This window comes from Homo sapiens, chromosome 15 (assembly GCF_000001405.40).
Source record: "Homo sapiens chromosome 15, GRCh38.p14 Primary Assembly".
In the NCBI taxonomy this organism is placed as follows: domain Eukaryota; kingdom Metazoa; phylum Chordata; class Mammalia; order Primates; family Hominidae; genus Homo; species Homo sapiens.
In genome coordinates, this window is record NC_000015.10 from 22,067,538 (window position 1) to 22,092,998 (window position 25,461).

Consider the following 25,461-nt stretch of genomic DNA (forward strand, 5'->3'; position numbering starts at 1 on the left):
TCCTTTGGTGGTGTCATGTTTTCCTGCTTCTTTGTGATCTTTGGGTGTTGATTTTGTCAGTGACTAAACCTGCTGGAGTCCTCTGTGGAGTTAAGTACTATAGTTTGTGCAATGATAATTGTGGGTTCCTTGGTAGTAAAAGCAGTGTGGTATGTGCAGCTGATAATGACAGGAGACAGACAGATTCCTAGGCAGACAGGGATAAGTCCCTGGTGAATCCCAACCTTCAAGCCAAAGACAACCTGAGGCCTGAAAACCAAGCCGCCAGTTCCAGGTGGAGTCCACGACCCAACTGAGAACTTCCTCAGTGCCTTTTAGTCAATTAAATGGTGCTTTTTCCAGGCCTGCCCATGAACCAATCAGCACAGATTCCTCCATTCTGAGCCCATAAAAACCCCAGACTCAGCCTCACAGATGGCTCTCTGCTTTCAGCCCCACTCTTACACAGAGGGCTGCCCACTTTGGCTACTCTCTTGTTGTCAAGAGCTTTTCTGCTGCTCAATAAAAATCTCATCAGCCTTGCTCACTCTGCGGTGTCTGCATGCTTCATTCCTGTTGGTTGCAGGACAAGAATCCAGGATCCACTGAACAGTGGGTGCGAAAAGAGCTGTAAGATACACCTCCTGTTCACCAAGCTACAGAAGTGAAAAAAAAATGCTGGGTGCCACAAGTCCCCAATTGCTGAGCTGTGGGCAGCAGGACTGAATGAGCTGTGACACATCCCCATTTGCTGAAACTGCCAGCAGTGAGAACGAACAAGAGCTGTAACACTTCCTGGGGGCTCAGACCTTGACTCCCAGAGCAAAAGCTGTAACACCTCTTCGGGCTCCACAGTTGCTGGCATCTCTGAGTTTTTGGGCACTGCTGCATCCCCCTTATCCAGATGCCAGCGCTCAAGGCAGAAGTCAGTCATAGCATGCCCAAACCAACCGTGGGCTGAGCACTGAGCTACGGTGGGTGTCATGGCGTCTGGGTGAGTGAGCATGAGTGGAGCACAGCCTGCCAGGCCAAATGAGCAGGACGAGCTCAGAGGGCCTGAGTGAAGCCTCAGCAGAGGCTCTGCTGGCCATCGAGATTTCCACTTGGCAAAGTGGCCCTCAAAGAATCCTGTGTCACATCCATGAGGGCTGTTGAGGTCCTTGGTATAGAAGGCTACCAGAATTCCGCTCAGATCAGGCTACTGGGGACTGCATTGATTCCTACCACAGGACTGATACTGATAGACCTCATCATTTCTCTTTCTTACCAGCAGTTTACAGATTTCTCTCCTATGTTGGTCTCCCTAGCAATCTGGGATGGGTGAAACTTAAGCTGGTTGTTTGGGCAGTGCTCCAGTAGGCTGGGTAAGATGGTTCACTCCACTCTCCTTTTCTCTGCAAGGGGAACTTGCAAGCTGAGCAGTGACCTCTCCATACTGAGCACTGCCAGCCTGAGGAAGATGACGCAGGCAAAATGAAACTGTTTTTTCTACCATTTTTTTGTGTTTTTTCTTGAAGTTTTTCTGTCTGCTCTGTTGTTTTAACTTCTGAAGTAGATTCCTGATCTCTGCTAGATATTTTCATTTGTGGATATTTGCCCAGTTGTTGTTCCTTTAGGAGGAATAAAGACTGAGATCACCTACTCTGCCATTCTAGCTGATGTCTAACACATTTTCTTTGTTCATCTGTCTATGGACTTTTAGGCTGTTTCCATATCTTGGCTTTTGTGAATAATGCTGTAGTAAACATGGGTGTGAAGGTATCTCTTTGAGGTTCTGATTTCAATTCTTTTGGACATATTCCTAAAAGTGGGATTGCTGAATCATATAATAATTTTGTTTTTAATGTTTTGAGGAACTGACACATTATTTTTCATAGTGACTGCACCATTTTCTATTTCCACCAAAAGTGTATAGGAGTTTCAATTCCCTAAATTCTAGCCAACACTTCTTTTGTTTTTTGATAATAGCCATGCTAATAGGCATGAGGCAATATCTCATTGGTGTTTGGATATGCATTTCCTTAACAACTAGTGATGCTGAACATATTTGCTTATACCTGTTGGCCATTTGTGTATTTCCTCTGAGAAATGTCTTCAAGTTTTTCACCCACTTTGAAATTGCATTATTATCATTATTATTTTTGCCATAGTATGACTGATTTTTAAGTGCTTCTTATATAATGGAGTTATTTAAATTTATTTTTTTCTGTTCATTATTTGCCTGTTAAATTTGTCTTTATTTTCTAGTAATTTTAAATTGTTTTAATTTCTAACATTTTCCCCTATATTTGTGTTTGCCATTGATAAATTTTAAATTTCATTATCAAATATGCTATAACTCTTTTCTTATTGTTTTTCCTTCATAGGGGCAGGATATACTTAAAAGTTTTTATTTATTCCAAAATAATTTAAATAGTCTCTCTATGTTTCTAGTAATTAAAAAAATTACTCCTTTGCAATTTATGTTAAGTATAAGTTATAAAATATAATTCTTTTAAAAAATCTGGTTAACCAGTTGTTCCAGCACAACTTATTGTGTCCTCTGGGACAATAGAATTGAAAATGCACGTCATACTCTAGAGAGCACATATTGTACATCGTAGCATTTTCCACCCCTAATCCTGGGAAATTCGCCATTTTTCTTACTTCTTCTGTGAAACTCAAAAGTTGTGTTTCTGTGCTCTTTGGATGAAGTGCAAATCAACTTTTAAATTATTCCCTCAGGGCTTATGTTCCTACCTGGCTTCTCCTGGCCTCCAGAGGATTGATTTTTGTAGTTACAGCTCATGCTGCTAGTTAGTTTACTGTTACATCAGGGCAGAAACTGATGCATACCAACATGTACCCAGGATAAAGTCCTCCACTGCGGGTGGTGGAAGAGGCTTCTTCTACCTCCTCCCCATAGTTCCTGAAGGCACCAAGACTGTCACAGTAATTGGTAGGTGGAATGTTGTTATAACATTTACATAAACCATCCTATTTTTGAGACAGTAGGACAGATAATAATGATGGGAATAACTATGTAAAATGCTCAGAGATCAGTGGTAAGAAACAGAAAGCAGCATGTAAGGAAATGTCTTAGGGAACTGTGATGATAGTATAGAGTAGGTTTTAGCTGTGGAGTGGGTGGACAAATTGTTTCTTTTCAGCCTTGGTCTCAATAATTAAAGCATTTTAAAGTCAGGGTTGAACAGGGCATTGAAGAGACAGCTTCATCATTTTATACTCATAGGATGAATCATTTCTAAGCAAGCTCAGAGAAGGCTGTTTTGATTTATGGGTCTTCAGAGCGTGACAGATTATTAAAATAAACGTCCAAAATTTTGAATCCTTTTACTCCTGGAAGAAAGACAGGAAAACCCCAAGATCTTTAGTTACTTCTTTTTATTTTTATTTTTATTTTTATTTTATTTTATTTTTTTATACTTTAAGTTTTAGGGTACATGTGCACATTGTGCAGGTTAGTTACATATGTATACATGTGCCATGCTGGTGCCCTGCACCCACTAACTCGTCATCTAGCATTAGGTATATCTCCCAGTGCTATCCCTCCCCCCTCCCCCCACCCCACCACAGTCCCCAGAGTGTGATATTCCCCTTCCTGTGTCCATGTGATCTCATTGTTCAATTCCCACCTATGAGTGAGAATATGCGGTGTTTGCTTTTTTGTTCTTGCAATAGTTTACTGAGAATGATGATTTCCAGTTTCATCCATGTCCCTACAAAGGACATGAACTCATCATTTTTTGTGGCTGCATAGTATTCCATGGTGTATATGTACCACATTTTCTTAATCCAGTCTATCATTGTTGGACATTTGGGTTGGTTCCAAGTCTTTGCTATTGTGAATAATGCCGCAATAAACATACGTGTGCATGTGTCTTTATAGCAGCATGATTTATAGTCATTTGGGTATATACCCAGTAATGGGATGGCTGGGTCAAATGGTATTTCTAGTTCTAGATCCCTGAGGAATCGCCACACTGACTTCCACAATGGATGAACTAGTTTACAGTCCCACCAACAGTGTAAAAGTGTTCCTATTTCTCCACATCCTCTCCAGCACCTGTTGTTTCCTGACTTTTTAATGATTGCCATTCTAACTGGTGTGAGATGGTATCTCATTGTGGTTTTGATTTGCATTTCTCTGATGGCCAGTGATGATGAGCATTTTTTCATGTGTTTTTTGGCTGCATAAATGTCTTCTTTTGAGAAGTGTCTGTTCATGTCCTTCGCCCACTTTTTGATGGGGTTGTTTGTTTTTTTCTTGTAAATTTGTTTGAGTTCATTGTAGATTCTGGATATTAGCCCTTTGTCAGATGAGTAGGTTGCGAAAATTTTCTCCCATTTTGTAGGTTGCCTGTTCACTCTGATGGTAGTTTCTTTTGCTGTGCAGAAGCTCTTTAGTTTAATTAGATCCCATTTGTCAATTTTGGCTTTTGTTGCCATTGCTTTTGGTGTTTTGGACATGAAGTCCTTGCCCATGCCTATGTCCTGAATGGTCATGCCTAGGTTTTCTTCTAGGGTTTTTATGGTTTTAGGTCTAACGTTTAAATCTTTAATCCATCTTGAATTGATTTTTGTATAAGGTGTAAGGAAGGGATCCAGTTTCAGCTTCCTACATATGGCTAGCCAGTTTTCCCAGCACCATTTATTAAATAGGGAATCCTTTCCCCATTGCTTGTTTTTCTCAGGTTTGTCAAAGATCAGATAGTTGTAGGTACGCGGCATTATTTCTGAGGGCTCTGTTCTGTTCCATTGATCTATATCTCTGTTTTGGTACCAATACCATGCTGTTTTGGTTACTGTAGCCTTGTAGCATAGTTTGAAGTCAGGTAGTGTGATGCCTCCAGCTTTGTTCTTTTGGCTTAGGATTGACTTGGCAATGCGGGCTCTTTTTTGGTTCCATATGAACTTTAAAGTAGTTTTTTCCAATTCTGTGAAGAAAGTCATTGGTAGCTTGATGGGGATGGCATTGAATCTGTAAATTACCTTGGGCAGTATGGCCATTTTCACAATATTGATTCTTCCTACCCATGAGCATGAAATGTTCTTCCATTTGTTTGTATCCTCTTTTATTTCCTTGAGCAGTGGTTTGTAGTTCTCCTTGAAGAGGTCCTTCACATCCCTTGTAAGTTGGATTCCTAGGTATTTTATTCTCTTTGAAGCAATTGTGAATGGGAGTTCACTCATGGTTTGGCTCTCTGTTTGTCTGTTGTTGGTGTATAAGAATGCTTGTGATTTTTGTACATTGATTTTGTATCCTGAGACTTTGCTGAAGTTGCTTATCAGCTTAAGGAGATTTTGGGCTGAGACAATGGGGTTTTCTAGATATACAATCATGTCGTCTGCAAACAGGGACAATTTGACTTCCTCTTTTCCTAATTGGATACCCTTTATTTCCTTCTCTTGCCTAATTGCCCTGGCCAGAACTTCCAACACTATGTTGAATAGGAGTGGTGAGAGAGGGCATCCCTGTCTTGTGCCAGTTTTCAAAGGGAATGCTTCCAGTTTTTGCCCATTCAGTATGATATTGGCTGTGGGTTTGTCATAGATAGCTCTTATTATTTTGAAATACGTCCCATCAATACCTAATTTCTTGAGAGTTTTTAGCATGAAGGGTTGTTGAATTTTGTCAAAGGCTTTTTCTGCATCTATTGAGATAATCATGTGGTTTTTGTCTTTGGTTCTGTTTATATGCTGGATTACATTTATTGATTTGCGTATACTGAACCAGCCTTGCATCCCAGGGATGAAGCCCCCTTGATCATGGTGGATAAGCTTTTTGATGTGCTGCTGGATTCGGTTTGCCAGTATTTTATTGAGGATTTTTGCCTCAATGTTCATCAAGGATATTGGTCTAAAATTCTCTTTTTTGGTTGTGTCTCTGCCCAGCTTTGGTATCAGAATGATGCTGGCCTCATAAAATGAGTTAGGGAGGATTCCCTCTTTTTCTATTGATTGGAATAGTTTCAGAAGGAATGGTACCAGTTCTTCCTTGTACCTCTGGTAGAATTCGGCTGTGAATCCATCTGGTCCTGGACTCCTTTTGGTTGGTAAGCTATTGATTATTGCCACAATTTCAGCTCCTGTTGTTGGTCTATTCAGAGATTCAACTTCTTCCTGGTTTAGTCTTGGGAGAGTGTATGTGTCGAGGAATTTATCCATTTCTTCTAGATTTTCTAGTTTATTTGCGTAGAGGTGTTTGTAGTATTCTCTGATGGTAGTTTGTATGTCTGTGGGATCAGTGGTGATATCCCCTTTATCATTTTTTATTGTGTCTATTTGATTCTTCTCTCTTTTTTTCTTTATTAGTCTTGCTAGCAGTCTATCAATTTTGTTGATCCTTTCAAAAAACCAGCTCCTGGATTCGTTGATTTTTTGAAGGGTTTTTTGTGTCTCTATTTCCTTCAGTTCTGCTCTGATTTTAGTTATTTCTTGCCTTCTGCTAGCTTTTGAATGTGTTTGCTCTTGCTTTTCTAGTTCTTTTAATTGTGATGTTAGGGTGTCAATTTTGGATCTTTCCTGCTTTCTCTTGTGGGCATTTAGTGCTATAAATTTCCCTCTACACACTGCTTTGAATGCGTCCCAGAGATTCTGGTATGTTGTGTCTTTGTTCTCGTTGGTTTCAAAGAACATCTTTATTTCTGCCTTCATTTCGTTATGTACCCAATAGTCATTCAGGAGCAGGTTGTTCAGTTTCCATGTAGTTGAGCGGCTTTGAGTGAGATTCTTAATCCTGAGTTCTAGTTTGATTGCACTGTGGTCTGAGAGATAGTTTGTTATAATTTCTGTTCTTTTACATTTGCTGAGGAGAGCTTTACTTCCAACTATGTGGTCAATTTTGGAATAGGCATGGTAGTTACTTCTTATAGTTCTTCAGGATGATCTCTGTGAAGAGGAAGGGAAAGGTGAGGCTTGAAATATTTCATTTCAAAGGGATTAGTGTTAGTAGTAGCAAAAACTTTGAAAATAAATAGAAAAGCAAAAAAGAAACTTAAAAGCAAAGAGACTCTTACTTGAAATAAATGTGGGTGAAATATGTATTTTAACAAAAAGGATTCCAAAAAGCAAAATTAGGAATTATGTAGCAGAGTAGGGAAAGAAGAAATGAATTAATAAAAACAATTAGATGTTGTGGTGTTTAATTTTTGTCAAAGTCTACTGATCTATTTATTCAATAAAAAATCTATGTAATCATCCCATCCATCCATCCATTTAACAAACACATATTGAAGACCATAACATGCTAGGAACTACTTTAGGCAGTAGATATATAAATGAGACATACTCCATGACCTCAAGGAGCTCAGAGTTCCTGTTATATTTTGCAAAATACAAACTGAAAAATTATAATGTAATGAGTTAAAATTTGTACTGGAGGTGTAAACAGTACTATTATGGGAGCCATAAAAATATGACATTTTTATGGAACTTATATATACAAAATTCATACAAAATTTCAGGCATTTTAGAAAACAAGCTTCTGAGAATAGCTGAAGGATTTAAAAATAGTGATACATCAACAATGTAACAGGACTGTGGGTCTGGGAAAAATGTGGGGAGCATTATATGCATTAATCACTACAATACCTGTGAAGTAGGTACTGTTATTATTTCCATTGCACTAATGAGGCACACTGAGGCAGAGGTAAGTGAGTTGCCCAGGATTACACAGCTAGTAAGTGCTTAGCTGTGGTTAGAATGAAGGCACTGAGAAATAAAATAAAAATGAAACCCTTAGCTCCCCAAGCTACTGAATGGACCCTCTCTTGGCCAAGGGCACCCCAGAGTAACCTTAAAAGCTGAGTTTTCATCCATGACAAGATGGGCGGTCAGAGGTGCCTTCTTACATCCCCGCCCTCACTTAACTACCATTAGACTTTCCTACCTAAGTGCTAAATAGAAACCAGCTCTTTTGAAAGACTCCACTGCTGATATCAACAAATCACTGAAGCAGTCCCTCTTTTTTTGTGGTTTTAACATGGCAATTAACCAGCATTCCTTCCTGATAAGAGACCAACTATATGCTACTCATGAAGGGGCATGAAGCACAATTGTGCATGTGCATGGTTGTCCTTTCATAAATATTCAAGATTCCTCCTATAGCTTATTGAGCATATGTATTTGGCCACCTCACTCAGTACATATTCCTTTTGACACTGTCTCGAAATGTTTGTTTCTGGCTCCTGGCCAGAGGCTATATTTCCCAGCCTGTCATAATAGCCACCCTTCAGGCTACAACTCTATGAGAAATAAAGGTCCTCCTTTCCAAATTTATGAACCCCATCATTCTTCAGTTGATAGCACTGACACCCCATATCTAAGTATATTAAAAGAGAAATAAGCTGCAAATATATATAATATATAAATATGTAATATATGTAAATATATGATATATACATATTTATATATAATTTATATTATATATAAAATATTTTAATATACTTTAATATATTCAAGTAAATTAAAAGAATATATTAATAGTTGTATATAAAATAAGTATTTTAATATACTTTAATAATGTTAATGTATATACTATATATTTTAATATACTTTAATAACATTAAAGTGTATTATTAAATATAATAATATATTAAAGTATATTAAAAGAGAAATAAGCAGCAAATGATCTTCAAAATAGTCTCATTGAGATCAGCCCTTCTCTTATCCTAATGGTTTCTTCTTGCCTAGTTTACTGTGGGCAACAATGCATACAGAAAATCAATGTAATAACTACATCTTGATATTTTCTGCTACTGGTTTATTTATGACACTCGAGGTCCCTTGGCTACCTATACCCATCTATATGGTGAAGATGCTTCTGTATACTCCTTCCTCACCATCCCACAGAATAAGTGAGCTCCATATCCTAAAAATAGGAAAATTAATTTGCATTCTTTCTAAGTGTTGTATATATCCACAATGGTGATGATATCACTGTTTCTCCCTATTGCTACCCAAATCATTCTTAATTTACCTTTCTGAGAATTTTACTCTCAACCTACTTTTACTTTAACGGAATCATAGGATTTTAGAGGTAGAACATTTCTTAAAATTCTAGTTAAAATCCCTCCTTTTGCTATGAAGAAACTGTCATAGAGGAAGATCTCACGACCTCAACATCACGCAGATTCTTGTTTTCTCCCAAAGCATTGCTTCTCTTGAGAAGATTTCACAGTTCACTCACCGACAGGGAATGCACCTGTACTCCTAGGTATTTCCATAGTCATCCTCTAGGTACTACATCCCTGTAGATTAAGAATGGGAATTTTCTAGATGTTGTTAAAAGAGGAGCAGAAGCTTAGGAGGAGTAGGTGGGTGGATGTAAGATGAAGTAAATCTTCTTAAGGAACTTATCCAACCACTGCTCTAAGAGTAAGGACTGATTTGGAATAGTCATCCCCTCCTCAATGGCAACCTTAGAAAAAAATGCCCTAAGTCAATCTTCATGAGTGGCTTATCTCCCCCAAGAATTTCCCATAAACATAATTGCTTGCTTTGGGTTTTTTTGGTACAATTCCCAGCTTTTCTTGGGGTGTTACAGTGCATACCCAAGTATGTATAGTTTATTTAGCCCAATTTTATTAAGGACGTGGTATGGGCTGGATGAACCTCATTTTAGACACAGAAGATAGGAAAACAATATTTTTAAATTGCCATTGTGGAGTTCAAATTCCAGCTGCCTTTGGTACTATGACAATAGCAACATATGATCCATTGATAAACCCTGGAGTTGCATCTCCTAAATATTTTCTAAACAAATTATTATTCTCTTCAAATAGTTATTGCTGTATTGTTAGTTTAAGCCATATATATATATATATATATATATATATATATATATATATATATATATATTCTTGTAATGTTGTCTTACTCTGATTTATTCACATAGCAGCCAGGGTGATATTTCTAAATTGCAAATTGTATTAAGCTATTCTCCCGAGTTTTATTGTAAAACATATTGAAAGAAAATTGGAAATCCAATTTTATTATTGTGGGCTACATTACTTGGTCTTTGACTAACTCTTTATTTTGTTCTTATGCTTCTACCAGTTGTGGGTCTTCTACAGTTCTTAGAAAGTCTTTCATGACACAAGGCCTTTTCATTTACTATTCTCTATTCCTAAAATGCTTTTCTTCAAACTTTCAAAGTTAGAAAAACGTCACCAACTCAGAACCTTTTCTAAAATACTCCATCACACACATACCACTCCCATCATTATTTACTCTACCATTGCCTTTTTATTTCCTGCTTGTCTTTTAGCACTAGTAGCAATTATTTTATTTTACTTATTTATATTTTATTTTATTTTTATTTGTTTACTTATTTATTGTCTGTCTATATTTTCAGAATGGAAGTTTGATGAGGCAGATATTGAGTGTTCCTTGTTCATTGTTGTGTCTCAGCAGGTAGCATATAGTAGATACTCTCTAAATGTTTGTGGGATAAACAAATGAATAGTTTACAGAAGTGACACAGAAGCTATATATTTAGGAATAGACTTTTTAATATCACATGTAGATAGCTTTGTTTTGACATGTGTTAAATGACAAGTGCTGGACAGAATAAGAATTGTTGCGTCATTTATGGTATTTTAGGTAATGGTTATGTTAATGTAGGGAAACTAGGTGCTTGTTCTTCCTTGAAGTGACATGGTGTAGTGGTGTGTGTGTGTGTGTGTGTGTGTGTGTGTGTGTGTGTGTGTGATGAGTAGTGGCTGAGCATTACTAGCTTTGGGAGTAGGGGGTTTGATTGGCTGCCTGACTATTGGATTGAGATGCTCCAGCAAAATATTTCTTTTCCACTTGACACTTGTGAAGGGTGGAGGACAGAGACACTCATCAAGGAGTGTGGAGGGATGAATCCTTTGTATTTTTGTCCTAAGGAATAAATGTGGTTGATTTTGGTTCTTAATGCAAAGTATATACATCATTAGTTTCTAATTTTATGTCATATGTTGAACACTGAGGTACAAAAGAAAATCTCTTTGACACTTTTTTCTGGTAAAATCACCCTTTCTATTCCATAATACCTGATGTATGTCTGTCTTTTCAAGACATCAACACTCATTCACATAAATTCTTTCTAGATTAGTGCCATTTTCTACTTCTGTTTTGGTGGAATGGGTATGGAGTAGAGCAGAGGAAGAAGGGGTGATTTGTGTGATGACACTCAGAATCATTGCATCATGTCCCCATAATAATAAAAAAGCATATGATCTTGTAATGGTATTTACTGCTTTAAAATATTCATCTCCTTTCAATAATAAAGGGACAATTATTTACTTAGGAACAAATAATCGCTTCCATCTGGTCAAAAACTACATAGCATTATAGCAAAATATGTAAATGAGCTGAGTAATCATAATATTTCAGATGCTTTTGTTAGAAATTTATTTGATTGTTGGAACCTCATAGTTGACTTATCAGTGAATGTAAATGAGTTAGTATATAACTAGCTCATAGCCCTCATAACTAATAACACAATGTTGTGTTATTAGTTATGAGGGCTATGAGCTGCCTCCTCCAGGTAAGTACAATAAGATCATTGTTTCTTGGAATGTTAGGAAATATTTCATTCTGGATAACCTTATTATCTTTCTTTTGATTAAAATCTTCCTAAACCAAATTTTAAATTTTTCAATCTTATTAAATATGCTTCATTAACTCACTGAGGTCCACACTGGGCAATTTATGGACAAGGGGAAATTGATCCCTTTTCTAAATAGTCCCACACTATTCAATTTCTGAGTATTTTTACCTTTCTTCCGCTTGCTACCAGATTCCTGGAAAACACTGGTTTTATGTGTGTGTGTCTGCTTGTAGTAAGCCATCCCTTTTTCAAAATACAATGCTTCTATAAGATATTGAAAGTCATTTATCTATGTTTGTTAAAATTATGTGTAAATTGAGTCAGTAGGTTCCAAAAATGGCGCATTTAATTTCTTTTCTCAGTAGTATACATAGTGCCCATAAGTGTTTGGACACAGCCACGTCTATTTGGTTTTACAGAACCTTAACTTTTTAAAAATTCCTTTTCATATTTAATTTTTTTAAGTAATAGGAGAGGCAATATCATAAAATATCACATCAACAGAAAAGAAACAACTCTCTTGTATTTGCTGTTGGTTACAACAAAACTTACTTTGGTGTGGCAGTTTTTAACCTTACTTAAAGAAAAGCATATTTGGTAATGTGAACTGTTATTTCATTTTTATTTGACAAGTTTTGTGCTATTAGTGGTGTCAGATTCAATACAGGGCAGTAAGCAAAATTTTAAAAATAATATTATTCCCATTGTCACCTTGAAACAGCAGAGCAGATCAGCTCAGAATCAAATTGGGTAGCAAGCATACTCATTTCTCAGATCAGTACACCTACTTACGTTCCTGCTGTGGTGAGCAAATTTTATACTCAATGTAGTATCAGGTATTGATGAATCTGGTCACAGCTAGAAGAATTTTTTATATAGGGCCTTGCATAGCTGTATGTTGTGGCTGGTTACCTGTTACCAAGGATTAAGCTGTACAGGTTTTGGTTACAGTTACGGAAAAATATGTCCCTTCACTACTTATGAAGCCTTGGGATCTCTTTTCTGTATCACAACTAAAGTACTGCTAGATCTGTGTGTGTGCTATTAGAATGCAAGCCTAAGTTTCCAAGTTGGCAAGATTTCCCAACAAAAAAAAAGATATAGAAAAAAGAGGCCACATCTCTGATTGCCAGTCTAAAATTTGGCTACACTCAGAAGTAGCTTCACATATTGCTTACTAATGTAGATGTTTGGGGGAAGAAGTAGTGCATTGCCAAATTTCAGAAAAAGTAAGTTTTTAACATTAACAAGCTGAGATTTGAGTTTCAAATATATGCCACACTTCATATAGTTTTAATGTTTCCAATTTGTAACTTCATCACATACTCTCTCCCTCTTGGTTTATCAGATATAAAATGGGCAACCAAATGTATCCTCGTGTAATCTGTTAGTGACAGGGAACGTATGACAATTTTGAAAGCAGTGATATAACTCTAGGTAAATGCTATGTCTACTAATTATAGTTTCTTAATTTTCATAGCTATATTATGAAAAGAGTAAATTGAAGAAATGGAAACTGCAAATTACACCAAGGTGACAGAATTTGTTCTCACTGGCCTATCCCAGACTCCAGAGGTCCAACTAGTCCTATTTGTTATATTTCTATCCTTCTATTTGTTCATCCTACCAGGAAATATCCTTATCATTTGCACCATCAGTCTAGACCCTCATCTGACCTCTCCTATGTATTTCCTGTTGGCTAATCTGGCCTTCCTTGATATTTGGTACTCTTCCATTACAGCCCCTGAAATGCTCATAGACTTCTTTGTGGAGAGGAAGATAATTTCTTTTGATGGATGCATTGCACAGCTCTTCTTCTTACACTTTGCTGGGGCTTCGGAGATGTTCTTGCTCACAGTGATGGCCTTTGACCTCTACACTGCTATCTGCCGACCCCTCCACTATGCTACCATCATGAATCAACGTCTCTGCTGTATCCTGGTGGCTCTCTCCTGGAGGGGGGGCTTCATTCATTCTATCATACAGGTGGCTCTCATTGTTCGACTTCCTTTCTGTGGGCCCAATGAGTTAGACAGTTACTTCTGTGACATCACACAGGTTGTCCGGATTGCCTGTGCCAACACCTTCCCAGAGGAGTTAGTGATGATCTGTAGTAGTGGTCTGATCTCTGTGGTGTGTTTGATTGCTCTGTTAATGTCCTATGCCTTCCTTCTGGCCTTGTTCAAGAAACTTTCAGGCTCAGGTGAGAATACCAACAGGGCCATGTCCACCTGCTATTCCCACATTACCATTGTGGTGCTAATGTTTGGGCCATCCATCTACATTTATGCTCGCCCATTTGACTCGTTTTCCCTAGATAAAGTGGTGTCTGTGTTCAATACTTTAATATTCCCTTTACGTAATCCCATTATTTACACATTGAGAAACAAGGAAGTAAAGGCAGCCATGAGGAAGTTGGTCACCAAATATATTTTGTGTAAAGAGAAGTGAAAGATAAATTATACATTTTATAGTTCCCCTGAGGATCATTGTCCTAAAGCAGGAAGTATTTGCAGTAATAATGCTGCATTGACTTCCTCCTTTCATTTGTGTTATTAAAATTTTACTATAATTTTTCTCTATTCATTCCTCTTTATATTGAAAAAATAGAGGCATTAAGATGAAAATAAATTTACTCACACCTACCCTGAAATTCCCAACAGATCATTATTAGAATTTGAGATATAATAATCTGCTAAAGTACATTTTAACTAATTGTTTATTGAGTACTCTGCAGAGGCTCTGGCTTTGACGGGAACATGTTGAGAAAAATAAATAAGACATGAGACGTGTCTATTACAAATATGAAGTAAATGGCAAGCATATGGATGCAGCTAGCTTCAAGTTAGCAAATAAATATTGTTGTCATGTTTCAGTGTTGGCTCAGTGGAATGGTATCTGGTCAACATCTTGCTGGGTCTGGAAAAACAGATTATTTGTCCTTTATCTCCTCTTATTTCCAGAGTTGATGGAAAATGAGGATTTTCCATCAACTTATAAACTGAAATACCTTATAAAGGTATTTCAGTTTATATTTCAGGTGGTGTCTATTCAACAGTTTGGAGACAGAACTCAAAATTTTATCACATTATGAAAACAATTTTTATGAATTCAAAGCAGAGTATAATTTGGCTGATACATGAGATTCATGTCATTCCAGATGAAGCCTCCAGGCAACTAGCAATTTTTGTAGCCAGTCCCTACTTACATCCTTCAGAGTGAAAGCAGCCTTGGGGAGAAAGCTTCTAGGTTGACTGGGATTGGTAGACATCTAGCCGTGTAATTTTTTTCTAAACTATCATCTCCTTTGCCACTTTTGTATGTTTTCCATAATTGCTAATTCTGCCTCTCATGTTAAACTTAAATTGGTAGAGTGCTGTTTTTGTTAGTGCTTAATTCAGAGTTCTTTCCCATTGACAGACCTAGACGTATTGGTTCCCATGATCCCTTAGAGAATTATTAGGGACTGATTTCCTATTCTCAAGCACTAAAAACTCACTCTCCAAGCTTCAGAATGTAAGAGGTAGATTAGAACATTTGATTTTATAGGTTATGTTTTTACTTAAATTTATTAGTTTTTAATTTCAAAACTAGGGAATCTTTTCATTGAAGGGCAAGAATGCATTGGGTATATTAATCTTTAGTCTTCTTTTTTAAATTTGATAATGTAATATGGACTAAATTTTAAGTGAATTAGATCCTTGTCAACATTGGGAATGAATATATAGAAACAAATGGTATAACTATTCCTAGAGTTACTATTTATTTACAGATATATTATTTATTAATTGAGGAGGTAATTTGTGCCAGACCCAGTGTATCTCAGATGCACAGGATGGAATGGTGGTACACAAAGCTTGTTTTTTGCTTTGGGAATTTTTCCTTATGGTGACCTTCTTCGATCTTCAATGCTATGTTGCTTCTCTTCTAGGAACCCAAAGGCACAGATTGACGTTATAAGTCCTGATTTTTGACTTGACTTCTCATCACCTGGAAGTGAATAAAGCAGTAGACTTCTCTAACATTTTGTAACACAGCATGAAAAAATATAGAGTACAAAAGATATATATATATAATATGATAAAATGATGAGTTACGTTTCTAAATCTTTTATCATCTTACTGTCATTTCTCTATATTTGGTCTAGCCAGACTTCTATTCATTTTGTCACTTATCTTTCATCAAACTAGGGCTGATGCTCTTGGGAAAGGGACCACTGATTTGATATGCTCTTCAAACACCAGCACACTGTACTATATAGAAAGATATTCACTGAAAATACTGAAGCTAGTAATACAAAGGAAAAAGGCATAAAAATAGTGTGATAACTAATTGCTTACTTAAGAATATTATCTGAAATTAGAAACTAATATCAATGAAGAAAAGGGGAACTTTTGGCAAACTCTAGTAAGTAATAACTGAGCCTGATTCATGGAGGCCATAATTGGAATAAGGACTGAGAGCAATTTCACCCCTTGGAGGACATTTGGAAGTGCCCAGAGACATTTTTGGTGGTCACAACTGAGGACATATATTGGCATCTTGTACTGTTTAGACATCTTACAATGCACAGGACAGCCCCCAGCCCCTGACTCCCACATGGATTATCTGGCCCAAAATGTCAATAGTGCCAAGAATAAAGAACTCCATCAGGTTGAGAAACTCTGACTTAAATAATGGGCAGGGATAAGGCAGGTTAGTGTAGAAGAAATAGGTGTTAACCTCATATGCAATCTTGTCTCATTGAATATTGTTTCCAAATAGCTCAGGATCCTCAGCAGTCAAATACAAAATATGCTTCAGGACTCCTTTTCCCTATATAACTCCTATATTTTCTTTCAGTTACTTTTAAATGTCTTTTAATCTCTTTTTTTTTCTTTCAGTCTCTCCTACTCCTCTTTCTTTCAAAACTGCTGCTGAGCTACTATGTTTAAAATCAGCAATATCTCGGTTGAGTATATTATCTTTAGCTCAGTATTGTGATTATACTTTCAATTATACACTGACTTGTGTGAAACTTTAGAACCCAAGTCCCATTCATCTTCTGGCTTTTTGCTAATCTCAATATTAACCAGAATTGTATTATTATATCTGGTTAAAAGAGAGCTTTATTGCTCAAACAAAATTAAAGTTCTTCTGTTTTTTTAATTACTAAAATAATATATATTCATTAAAAGTTAAAAACATATGAATATATAAAGAACAAAACAAGTATCACTGGCAATCTCTTTTCTCAGGGATTTTCTTCAACAAAGTTTATAAAGTCTCACCCCTCCAACTCCATTGGAAGCAGACCAGTTGGCCTATCATGCATTGTTCCAAAATATAATTACCATTAAATAGAGGTCCAGGTGAAGACAAGCTACAACATGCTTACATAAATAAGTATAACCCTCAGATTTTATATCCCACAAAACTGGCATTTAAATAAACAGGCCACAAAGTTTTAAATATGCAACAAAAATCTGTGAATGTTGTTTTTAAGACCTCTTTGATGAAATTATCAGAGAACAAATTACAGTCAAACATGTGACTAGGACAAAAGGCTGGGTTTCTGACACACACACACACATATATATATACATATATATATACACACACATATATATGTATATAGATATACACACATATATATGTATATAGATATACACACACATATATATGTATATATATATATATATATATATATATACACAGTAGTCCTCTTTTATCCATAGGAGATATGTTCCAAGACACCTGTGGATGCCTGAAACCATGGATAGTACCAAACCCTATATATACCATGTTTTTCTTATACATATATGCCTATGATAAAGTTTAATTCATAAATTAGGCACAGTAACAGATTTATAACAACCAATAATAGAATAGAACAATTACAACAATATGCCAACATTACTACTCTTGCACTTTGGGGCCATTATTAAATAGAATAAGGATTACTTGAACACAAGCACTGTGATGCTGTGTCTAACTGATAACCAAGGTGGCTACTAAGTGATAACGTGCAGGTGGCATGTATAACATGGATACACTGGACAAAGGGATGACTCATGTCCCTGGAAGGATGGAGAAGGACAGCTTGAGATTTCATCCTGCTACTTAGAATGGGGCATAATTTAAAGCTTATGAATTGTTTGCTGCTGGAATGTTCCATTTAACATTTTTTGGACTGAAGTTGACCATGGACAACAGAAACTACAGAAAGCAACACTGTGGGTAAGAGGGGGCTACTGTATTTAATCTAGTATTAGGCTTATTAAACTATAAAGACTACTAAGCAGACGTTGAAAACAGAGATCGTCTTCAAGGGAAAGGCAGTCAGGATAATATCTCACTGGTTTCCTTCCTTCCTTCTTTCCTTTTTTTTTCCTTTTCTTTCTTTCTTTTTTTTTTTTAAGCAGAGTCTCACTCTGTATCCCAGGCTCCAGGGCAGTGGCTCGATCTCGGTTCATTAAAGTCTTCGCCTCCCGGGTTCAAGCAGTTCTCCTGCTTCAGCTTCTTGAGTAGCTGGGATTACAGGTCCATGCCACCATGCTCGAGTAATTTTTGTATATTTAGTACAGAAGGGGTTTTGCTATGTTGGCCAGGATGGTCTTGAACTCCTGGCCTCAAATGATACACCTGCCTCGGCCTCCCAAAGTGCTGGGACAGGCATGAGCCACGGGACCCGGCTGATCTCTTTTCCTTAACAACAAAAAAGTAAACCAGTGAAGAGTTATATTATGACAAGAGAAAAGAGTTTTTATCTCAGTGAAAATATAATCAAATAAGAGCATCTTCAGAGCTGGATTATACTCCTAAATGTAGTAACTAGAAATATAAAGTATCTAGAAGAAAACACAGAATAATATATTTGCTTACACAATTGGAATAAGCAATGATATCTTAAGCAGCACAAAAGCAGGTGTAATAATAAAAAGTGATCAAATGAACCTCAAAAAATTAAAAATTACTGCTCGTCAAGATACACTATCATCAAATTATTAAGGAAATCATACACTGGGAGGAAAATTTGGTCTCTCTTAATCTCCCTGTTTCTCTCTGTCTTCAAGTAAAGAAAAATCAGCAAAAAATTTGAACAGACACTCCAGAAAAGAAGATACAGAAGTGATCAGCAAGTTCACGAAAAGATGCACGTCATTACTCAGCAGGGAATGGTCCACAACACACGATCAAGTGTTCAGGCAGAGCGCTCTCCCACTACTCTGAGGAACAGAACAAAATAGCAGAGAAGGAAAAGAGGAAGGGGTTTATCAAGTGCCCCAGGAACATATAACATACTGGAGACTAGACACGTCCATAAAAATGACTCAGTTTCCCCATTGCTTGTTAGTGCTGCCTGGTCAGTGGGCCAGATTCATCCATGGCACTAGGAAGGCAGTCAGTTCTCATCCCCTTCGGACGAATCTTTCTAGAAACTGATATAGCCAATTACCAATACATCCTCACCCTCACGTGCTCTCTCCTGGACTCCGGATGCTCTACCAACATGAAGAAATATATTGAGTGCCTCCAGGTGCTCAGTCCCAGGCACTTGACACTCTAGACTATGCAGCAGCGCTGGGAGGACTCAGCTTTCCGAGCTCCACAATTTTATGTTGGGAGCCTGTGGCAACTACTGACAAAAACAATGTAGCTGCCATCAAGATGTAGTTCTTGTCTGCTGCACTGTTTTAAAGGTGCCCGGTATTTATTTTAATCAGGAATGGTAAGACACACTGTCATGGAAATGACTGTCATGAAGGAAGAAGTTTTTAGACTCACAAATCCCTAGAAATAAGAGGTTGGTTAGGTGAGTGGGGAAATGAGAAAAATGTGGGTAAGAGCCTTTATCATGGTTTCTGTGGAAATAGATGGATGGGGCAGGATAAACAGGTTTAGGATTGGCTAGATTGAATAATTCCAGTGGGCTCTGGAGGATAGGGGCTGTCTCTAAGTGTCTGGCACTTGGCCCTGGGGTGATTAGGGAAGGCAAATAGTGGCCTGGAGTGTAATAGCGCTATAGGTGCCTGATAAAAGAAGCGGCTGGAGTATGGTTTCTAGATTGGTTGCAAGTGAGGCTTTTACCATCTCTAGGAATTGGCTAGCCATAAGAGGGATAGTTCCTCCAGTGTTAGGAAGGCACAAGACATTAAAGCATTAGAAATGCAGAAAATATAATGGCATAAGTAAAACACAACACCAAATGTTGGTGAATTAATTGTTGGAATAACTTGAACTCTCATACATTGATGTTGGGAATTTACAATGGCTAACCACTCTGAAAAACTTAATAGAAACTTCAGGTAATTTCAGGTAGATGTAAACAAACAGCTACCTTATGACCTGATAATCCCATTCGTGTTTAGCTAAGACATGTCTATGAAATGATTTAAATTCGCATGCTAATGAAAACCTTATTGGTGGCCTAAGATTTGAAACAACCCAAATGTCCATAAAAGGATAAAATGATAATAAACAAACTTAGGGTTAAGTATATAATGAAACATTAGTCCGCAGTAAAAAGAAACAACTACAGAAAATGCAACAATACGCATGAATCTCTAAATCGTAATGCTGAGTTTAAAAGCCAGATACAAAATAACACATGTCATATGCTTCTGTTTTTATAAAATCCAAGAAAAGGTAAAACTAATCTATGCTATTAGGAATTAAAAGATGAAAGCTCATTATGATGTTAGATGGTGGGGGTGGATGGCAAAGATCACAAGAAACCTTTCTGGAGTGACGGAAATATTCTTTATCTTGTTTAGAATACTAGTTTCTAAAGTGCATATATTTAACAGAAGTTACTACGTTGAACACTTAAATGTGTGTATTTTAATGTATATACATTGTATTCTAAGAAATACAACCAAGAATTTATTTTCATGCTTGCTTGTAAATACAGATAAATTTCTTGAAGGATACAAAAATTAATATTAGCTTCCAATTTTGAGGTATGGGGTGAAATGGACATATAGGGGACAGATATAAGAAGGAAATTTCTCACTGTATGAATTATTTTTTATTTAAAAATGTAAATATATTACCTATTCAAAAATTAAATACATTTTTAAAGTCAAGTATATTTAAAGTACACTGCCTAATTTCCAACCTTATGGTAATGCCATTAAAAATTCTGAGTTATTCTTGCTTCCATACCTCTCATATGCAGTCCTTCAATAAGTCCCATTGATTATCTCTCCAAAGTTTATCTTTGGTATAAATTCTTCTGTCTTCTTTTTTACCTCTTATCCTAACCTACCAACATCTCTTATTTATATTAATAGTTCTTCAAATGCTCCCTACTGTTTCCCTTGCCTCCACTTCTTGCATTTTATAGCCCGTTTTTCACTTAGTACCTGGCACAACATTTTAAACATGTAAATCAGGTAGGAACACTCCTCTGCCTGTTACATCTCACACATAGTATGTTGACCGATTGCCATTTGGCCCATATTGGCTCTACCTCTCTATCTTCCCTTACAATTTTTTCCATTTGCTCACTACTGTCTTGCCACACTAGCCTCCTTTCTGCTTCTCAATGCACCAGTCTCTCCCTTAATGAGCTTTCAACAAGTCTATCTTCAGATCTTCCCAGAGACGGTGTAGTTCTGTCATTCAGATCTTAGTTGAAATGTTGCCACCTTGTCAGAAAGGCCCTCCCTGGCCAGCTCACTTGGAATAGTAGTCTCTTCCGCTTTCTCTTATATTTTTATCATAGTGCTCATTACAATCAGTTGTTTTCTCTCTGGTATGTTTGTTTGTTGTCTGTTTCCATGCTTTAGGATGTAAAATCCCCAGGAACAGGGATATTTTCTGTCTTGTTCGGTGCTGCATTGCAGACACTACAATACAGCCTGGTACATGGTTTTAGTTTCTAAGATAGTCTAGGGAGACAAATCTTTCCTAGCAGGAATAACAAGCCTTCATTCTAAGGATTAATTTAGATCATTAGACTATCTTCACTTTAAGTATTGTGGAAAACATTAGGAAGCAAAGTCCCTAACTATGTCTACAATTATGAAAAAATCATATTTTAAAAAATCTTTGGTAGCAAGAAAGACTATAATATACTCAAAAATGGGAATGTTTTTCCATGTGTTTCTTTACTTATATCACTTCTTTTCTGTTTCTTTTAAGAAAGTAAACACTGCACTTTTTAGTTTATTTGGTGTATATAGTTTTACAAAATATGCATTTTTGTGCCTGGCTTTTTATTTCCTATTATTCCATTACTGTCTTTGCATTTGTTCCTGTTCTTGCATTTCTCCCCCCCGGTTTTTTTACCTTTATGATTTTGTGTATCTCTTTCTCCCTTTTTCTCTTTTCCCCATGTTCCATTTTTCCCACTTATTATTTTCTGAATTGGACATAAATTAGAACAAAATATTATTGATTATGCATTATATTTGTTGAAAAACTGTTTATTAATTTTTAAAATAAAAAATCTTTTTAAAATAAAAATAAATCTACTGAAATTTAATTATATTGTGTTCTACTATGTGATTCTTAATTACTTTTCTTCTGTCTAGTAATATTTACTTAAAAAAATAGTTGTCTTTGCTTTAGTGGAACATAGGAGACACTTATTCCTAAAATGAAAACAACAAAGGCCAAGACCACAATAGGGTGTATTTAAGAATACATCTCTTTGTGAGGAATTAGTCCTTCAATATGCAGTTCTCGTCTCCAAGAAGGATTATGTCAAAGAGTCTTTGTGAACATCATTTATTTTTCTTTGCCTATTTCTTTGTCATCAGAAATATGTTGAATTTACCATACTACCTACCTGACCACATTACTTCTTTTCTTGATCTATCAATGATTTCCTATTATACACTTTTTTAAAAAAAATAGTAACGTAAGAAATAAAATAACCTCTTTTGGCTTTCTGCCCACATGGACCTAGTAAACATGCTGACTATTCTGTAATATGTGTCACTGATAGAATGTTGATTTTAAAACTTAGAAGTAACATAGTGACTTTTAAATCATATATACTTCACTATTTATATATAACATGTTTCTAGTCTCATTCTTTGACTATATTTTGTTGGCATTTTAACAATTCCCTTTGAAAGTGTTTGCAGCTTTGTTAGCCTTCAAATTCCCAAAGTACATTCTCCATTGCATCACAAATTGGTTGCATAAGAGATTCCTCTGTGAGAAGAGATATTTAACAATGAAGTCAGGAAAAATTAGTTATTGTTCCTTCTATTAGAAGGAGGTGATATCTGCTGTTTGACAGGAGCATTAGATTACTAGAGAGGTAAATGTTTTTCCATTCTCCATATTTATAAGGAACATAAGGAAGAAATGGAAACATATTGTAACACCTCAGGTGGGACATCTGCTGCCTTGAAATGCAAAGATCAGAATTATAGTGATTATATAGGTTATGGGTTTCAAACTAGAAATAGATTAATATGTTTAATCTGAATTCAGTAATACAGTAGCACCTTTTACCTGGTCTTAATAATATAGCCCCAGTTTCTCCTAATATTTAGAATTAATTTATTGGGAATATATAAAGCCTTTATTAACATTGCCTTGGGAATGTTTATACTTGGTCCTAAACCTATAGCTATTAACTGAAAGACGTGAGGGAACAGAAGTCATATCCAATGCAGAAATGCTAGGCTGCAGAAGAAATCTTCACCAACTTCACGATTTTGCAGGAGACTAGCTCTGTCTAGTTCCCACACCTGCTGGGATGAGAGGTTCTTTTACAAAGAGTCTTACCATATACCAATCTGGGGCTTTGACAGCTGGCTGAAATGAAGCCTTCATAAATTCTTTTCTAGTAATTTCTTACATTAACATAGCTACCTTTACCCCAGCAACTCATTTCAAAGGCAGGGACAGAGGATCTATATTATATATTTACTTCTTAGAAACTAAAGCCCCTCTTAATATCTACATTTTTTCCTTGTTTAGTTTTGGTTTAGTCAGACTTCAATATGCTACTTATTGCTATCATTCTCATATTATATTCATAAATCAACACAGTGAGATAAAATAACTCAGGCTAAGGAAGATGACCTTCCCAAGATCTCACGGTTAAAAAAATTGCACAATGAAGAACTTAAACCCAGATAGATGCCCAAACGAGGGCTTTTTAAATGACATCCATTACTTTGCCTAGAAATCATGGCATTATAAACATTGGTATCAGTTAATGATTTGATGATACTCTAACTTTATCCACATTTCTCAGAACACACAAAAAATTAATGATTATATAGGTTATGGGTTACAAATTAGATAGCACATATTAATAGACATCACATTCTTATTCTTATTTTGGGAACATTTCTAAAATGTGTTTTTGCTGGTAGGGTGGATTAATGAGAAATTTCTTTCAAGCAGAAAGGTGAATAGTGCCACTTTTATTAAGATCAGTTATAAACAGACAAAATATTTGAGGTAATGGGAAATAATTTAAAAGTATTTACACAGTATATTTTAAGTAGGATACTATTCAAGGAAAGTAATTTAGTACTGAAAGATGGGTTAGGTATTTTTAACCCTTACAAAAATTGGAGTGAAGAAACTTCATGTGCTGTCCTTACTACTGTTTCAAAAGAAAACAATAGTGATGCTTCTCAGAATTAATGGGAAGGCAAACATGAGATCTAATAAAGGAGAAATGAATAGAGAAGAAGAGAGAGTGGAAAAATATTGGAAACTGCAAGAACATTGAGAAGTAAAAACAACAAAGGAGAAAAAATAGAAGAGATAAGAGAAAAGCAAGGGGAATCATTAGAGAACAAATACGAGAGAGAAAGAGAAGATAAAATAGAGAAAGAGAAACCAACTTAAGTAAAAGTATAACTTAAAAAATGAAGTGTAGAAATATTTAGCGAGATGGGAGGGGAAGATAATAAAATAAATATTTTAAAAGGAGGCATGAGGAAATATAAAGAAAAATGAGTGAATTAGTGCCTGTGGATGGGAATCAAATCTCCAAATACCTGCTCCATGAACTTTTTAACAAGAGCCTGGACTCTAAACGTGAACAGTGCATAGCGCAGCCTTTATCTGGAATGTGTGTGTGCCCCCACCCATCACTCTTTCCTCTTCTGTGCTGCTCCAGCATTGTCAGGAACAGATGAAATTTTGTTTCTGTTGAAATTGAAATATAGGATAGAGGGAGTGGCAGTCATTCAGATTTCTATTTCAGCTTCCACTGACAGTGATCCTTCTAACATTGTTATGTTCTTCTAATATAGTTAGACAAGACCAAGCTTGTCTTTGCAGGAATTTCTGTGCTTTTATTTTGCTAGGACTTACTTCATTTTACCTAGAGGAATGTCCACCTTATGAATATATATATTTGGTTTCTGGATCCATAATGAGCATGATGTGAGCACTATCCATATAACAAAAGAGCTTAGAGGGAAGCACACAAAGGGAACACAGTGAATCAAAGATATTTGATGGTAGAGGGTTCCAGATGTTACAGAGTCAGTAGGAGAACAGAAGTGGATAACAGGGAATAAAATGCAAGGTACAGTGCAAGAACCTGAAACTCCCAATCTCAGAGATACTTGAAAGTTTCTTCTATGACCCAAATACATCCTCAATTTTTGAAAGAGTATGAAATAACCAACTGCATAATAACATGCAAGATGTACACAACTTAAGAGTAAGCAGAGAGGGATTCCCGACTTTTCTATTAGCAGGTTTTATATGCACAGAAAGACTGATAAATATTAAGGTCAATAAATGGCCAAGTGCCAAAAAAAAAAAAAAAGAAAAGAAGAAGGGTATCATATGTAAAATTTTATGCTTCTGTTTTGGTTAGGATACGTGTGTTTGCGTGTATTTATTTGTGTCTGTGTGATGTACATACATGTGATGTAAGATACTTTTTTCTGTTTGAGACAGAGTCT

At 36.2% G+C, this 25,461-nt stretch overlaps 1 protein-coding gene and 1 long non-coding RNA gene across 3 annotated transcripts in view; both read left to right on the forward strand.

Moving 5' to 3' along the window:
* Positions 1-25,461, forward strand: part of OR4M2-OT1 (OR4M2 overlapping transcript 1) — a 105,539-nt gene that overhangs the window by 77,458 nt on the left and 2,620 nt on the right. The gene's annotated exons all lie outside the window — the stretch shown is intronic.
* Positions 12,990-14,073, forward strand: OR4M2 (olfactory receptor family 4 subfamily M member 2). Its single transcript, NM_001004719.2, has one exon. The coding sequence runs from the start codon at positions 13,088-13,090 to the stop codon at positions 14,027-14,029; it is 942 nt and encodes a 313-aa protein (NP_001004719.2). The 5' UTR covers positions 12,990-13,087; the 3' UTR covers positions 14,030-14,073.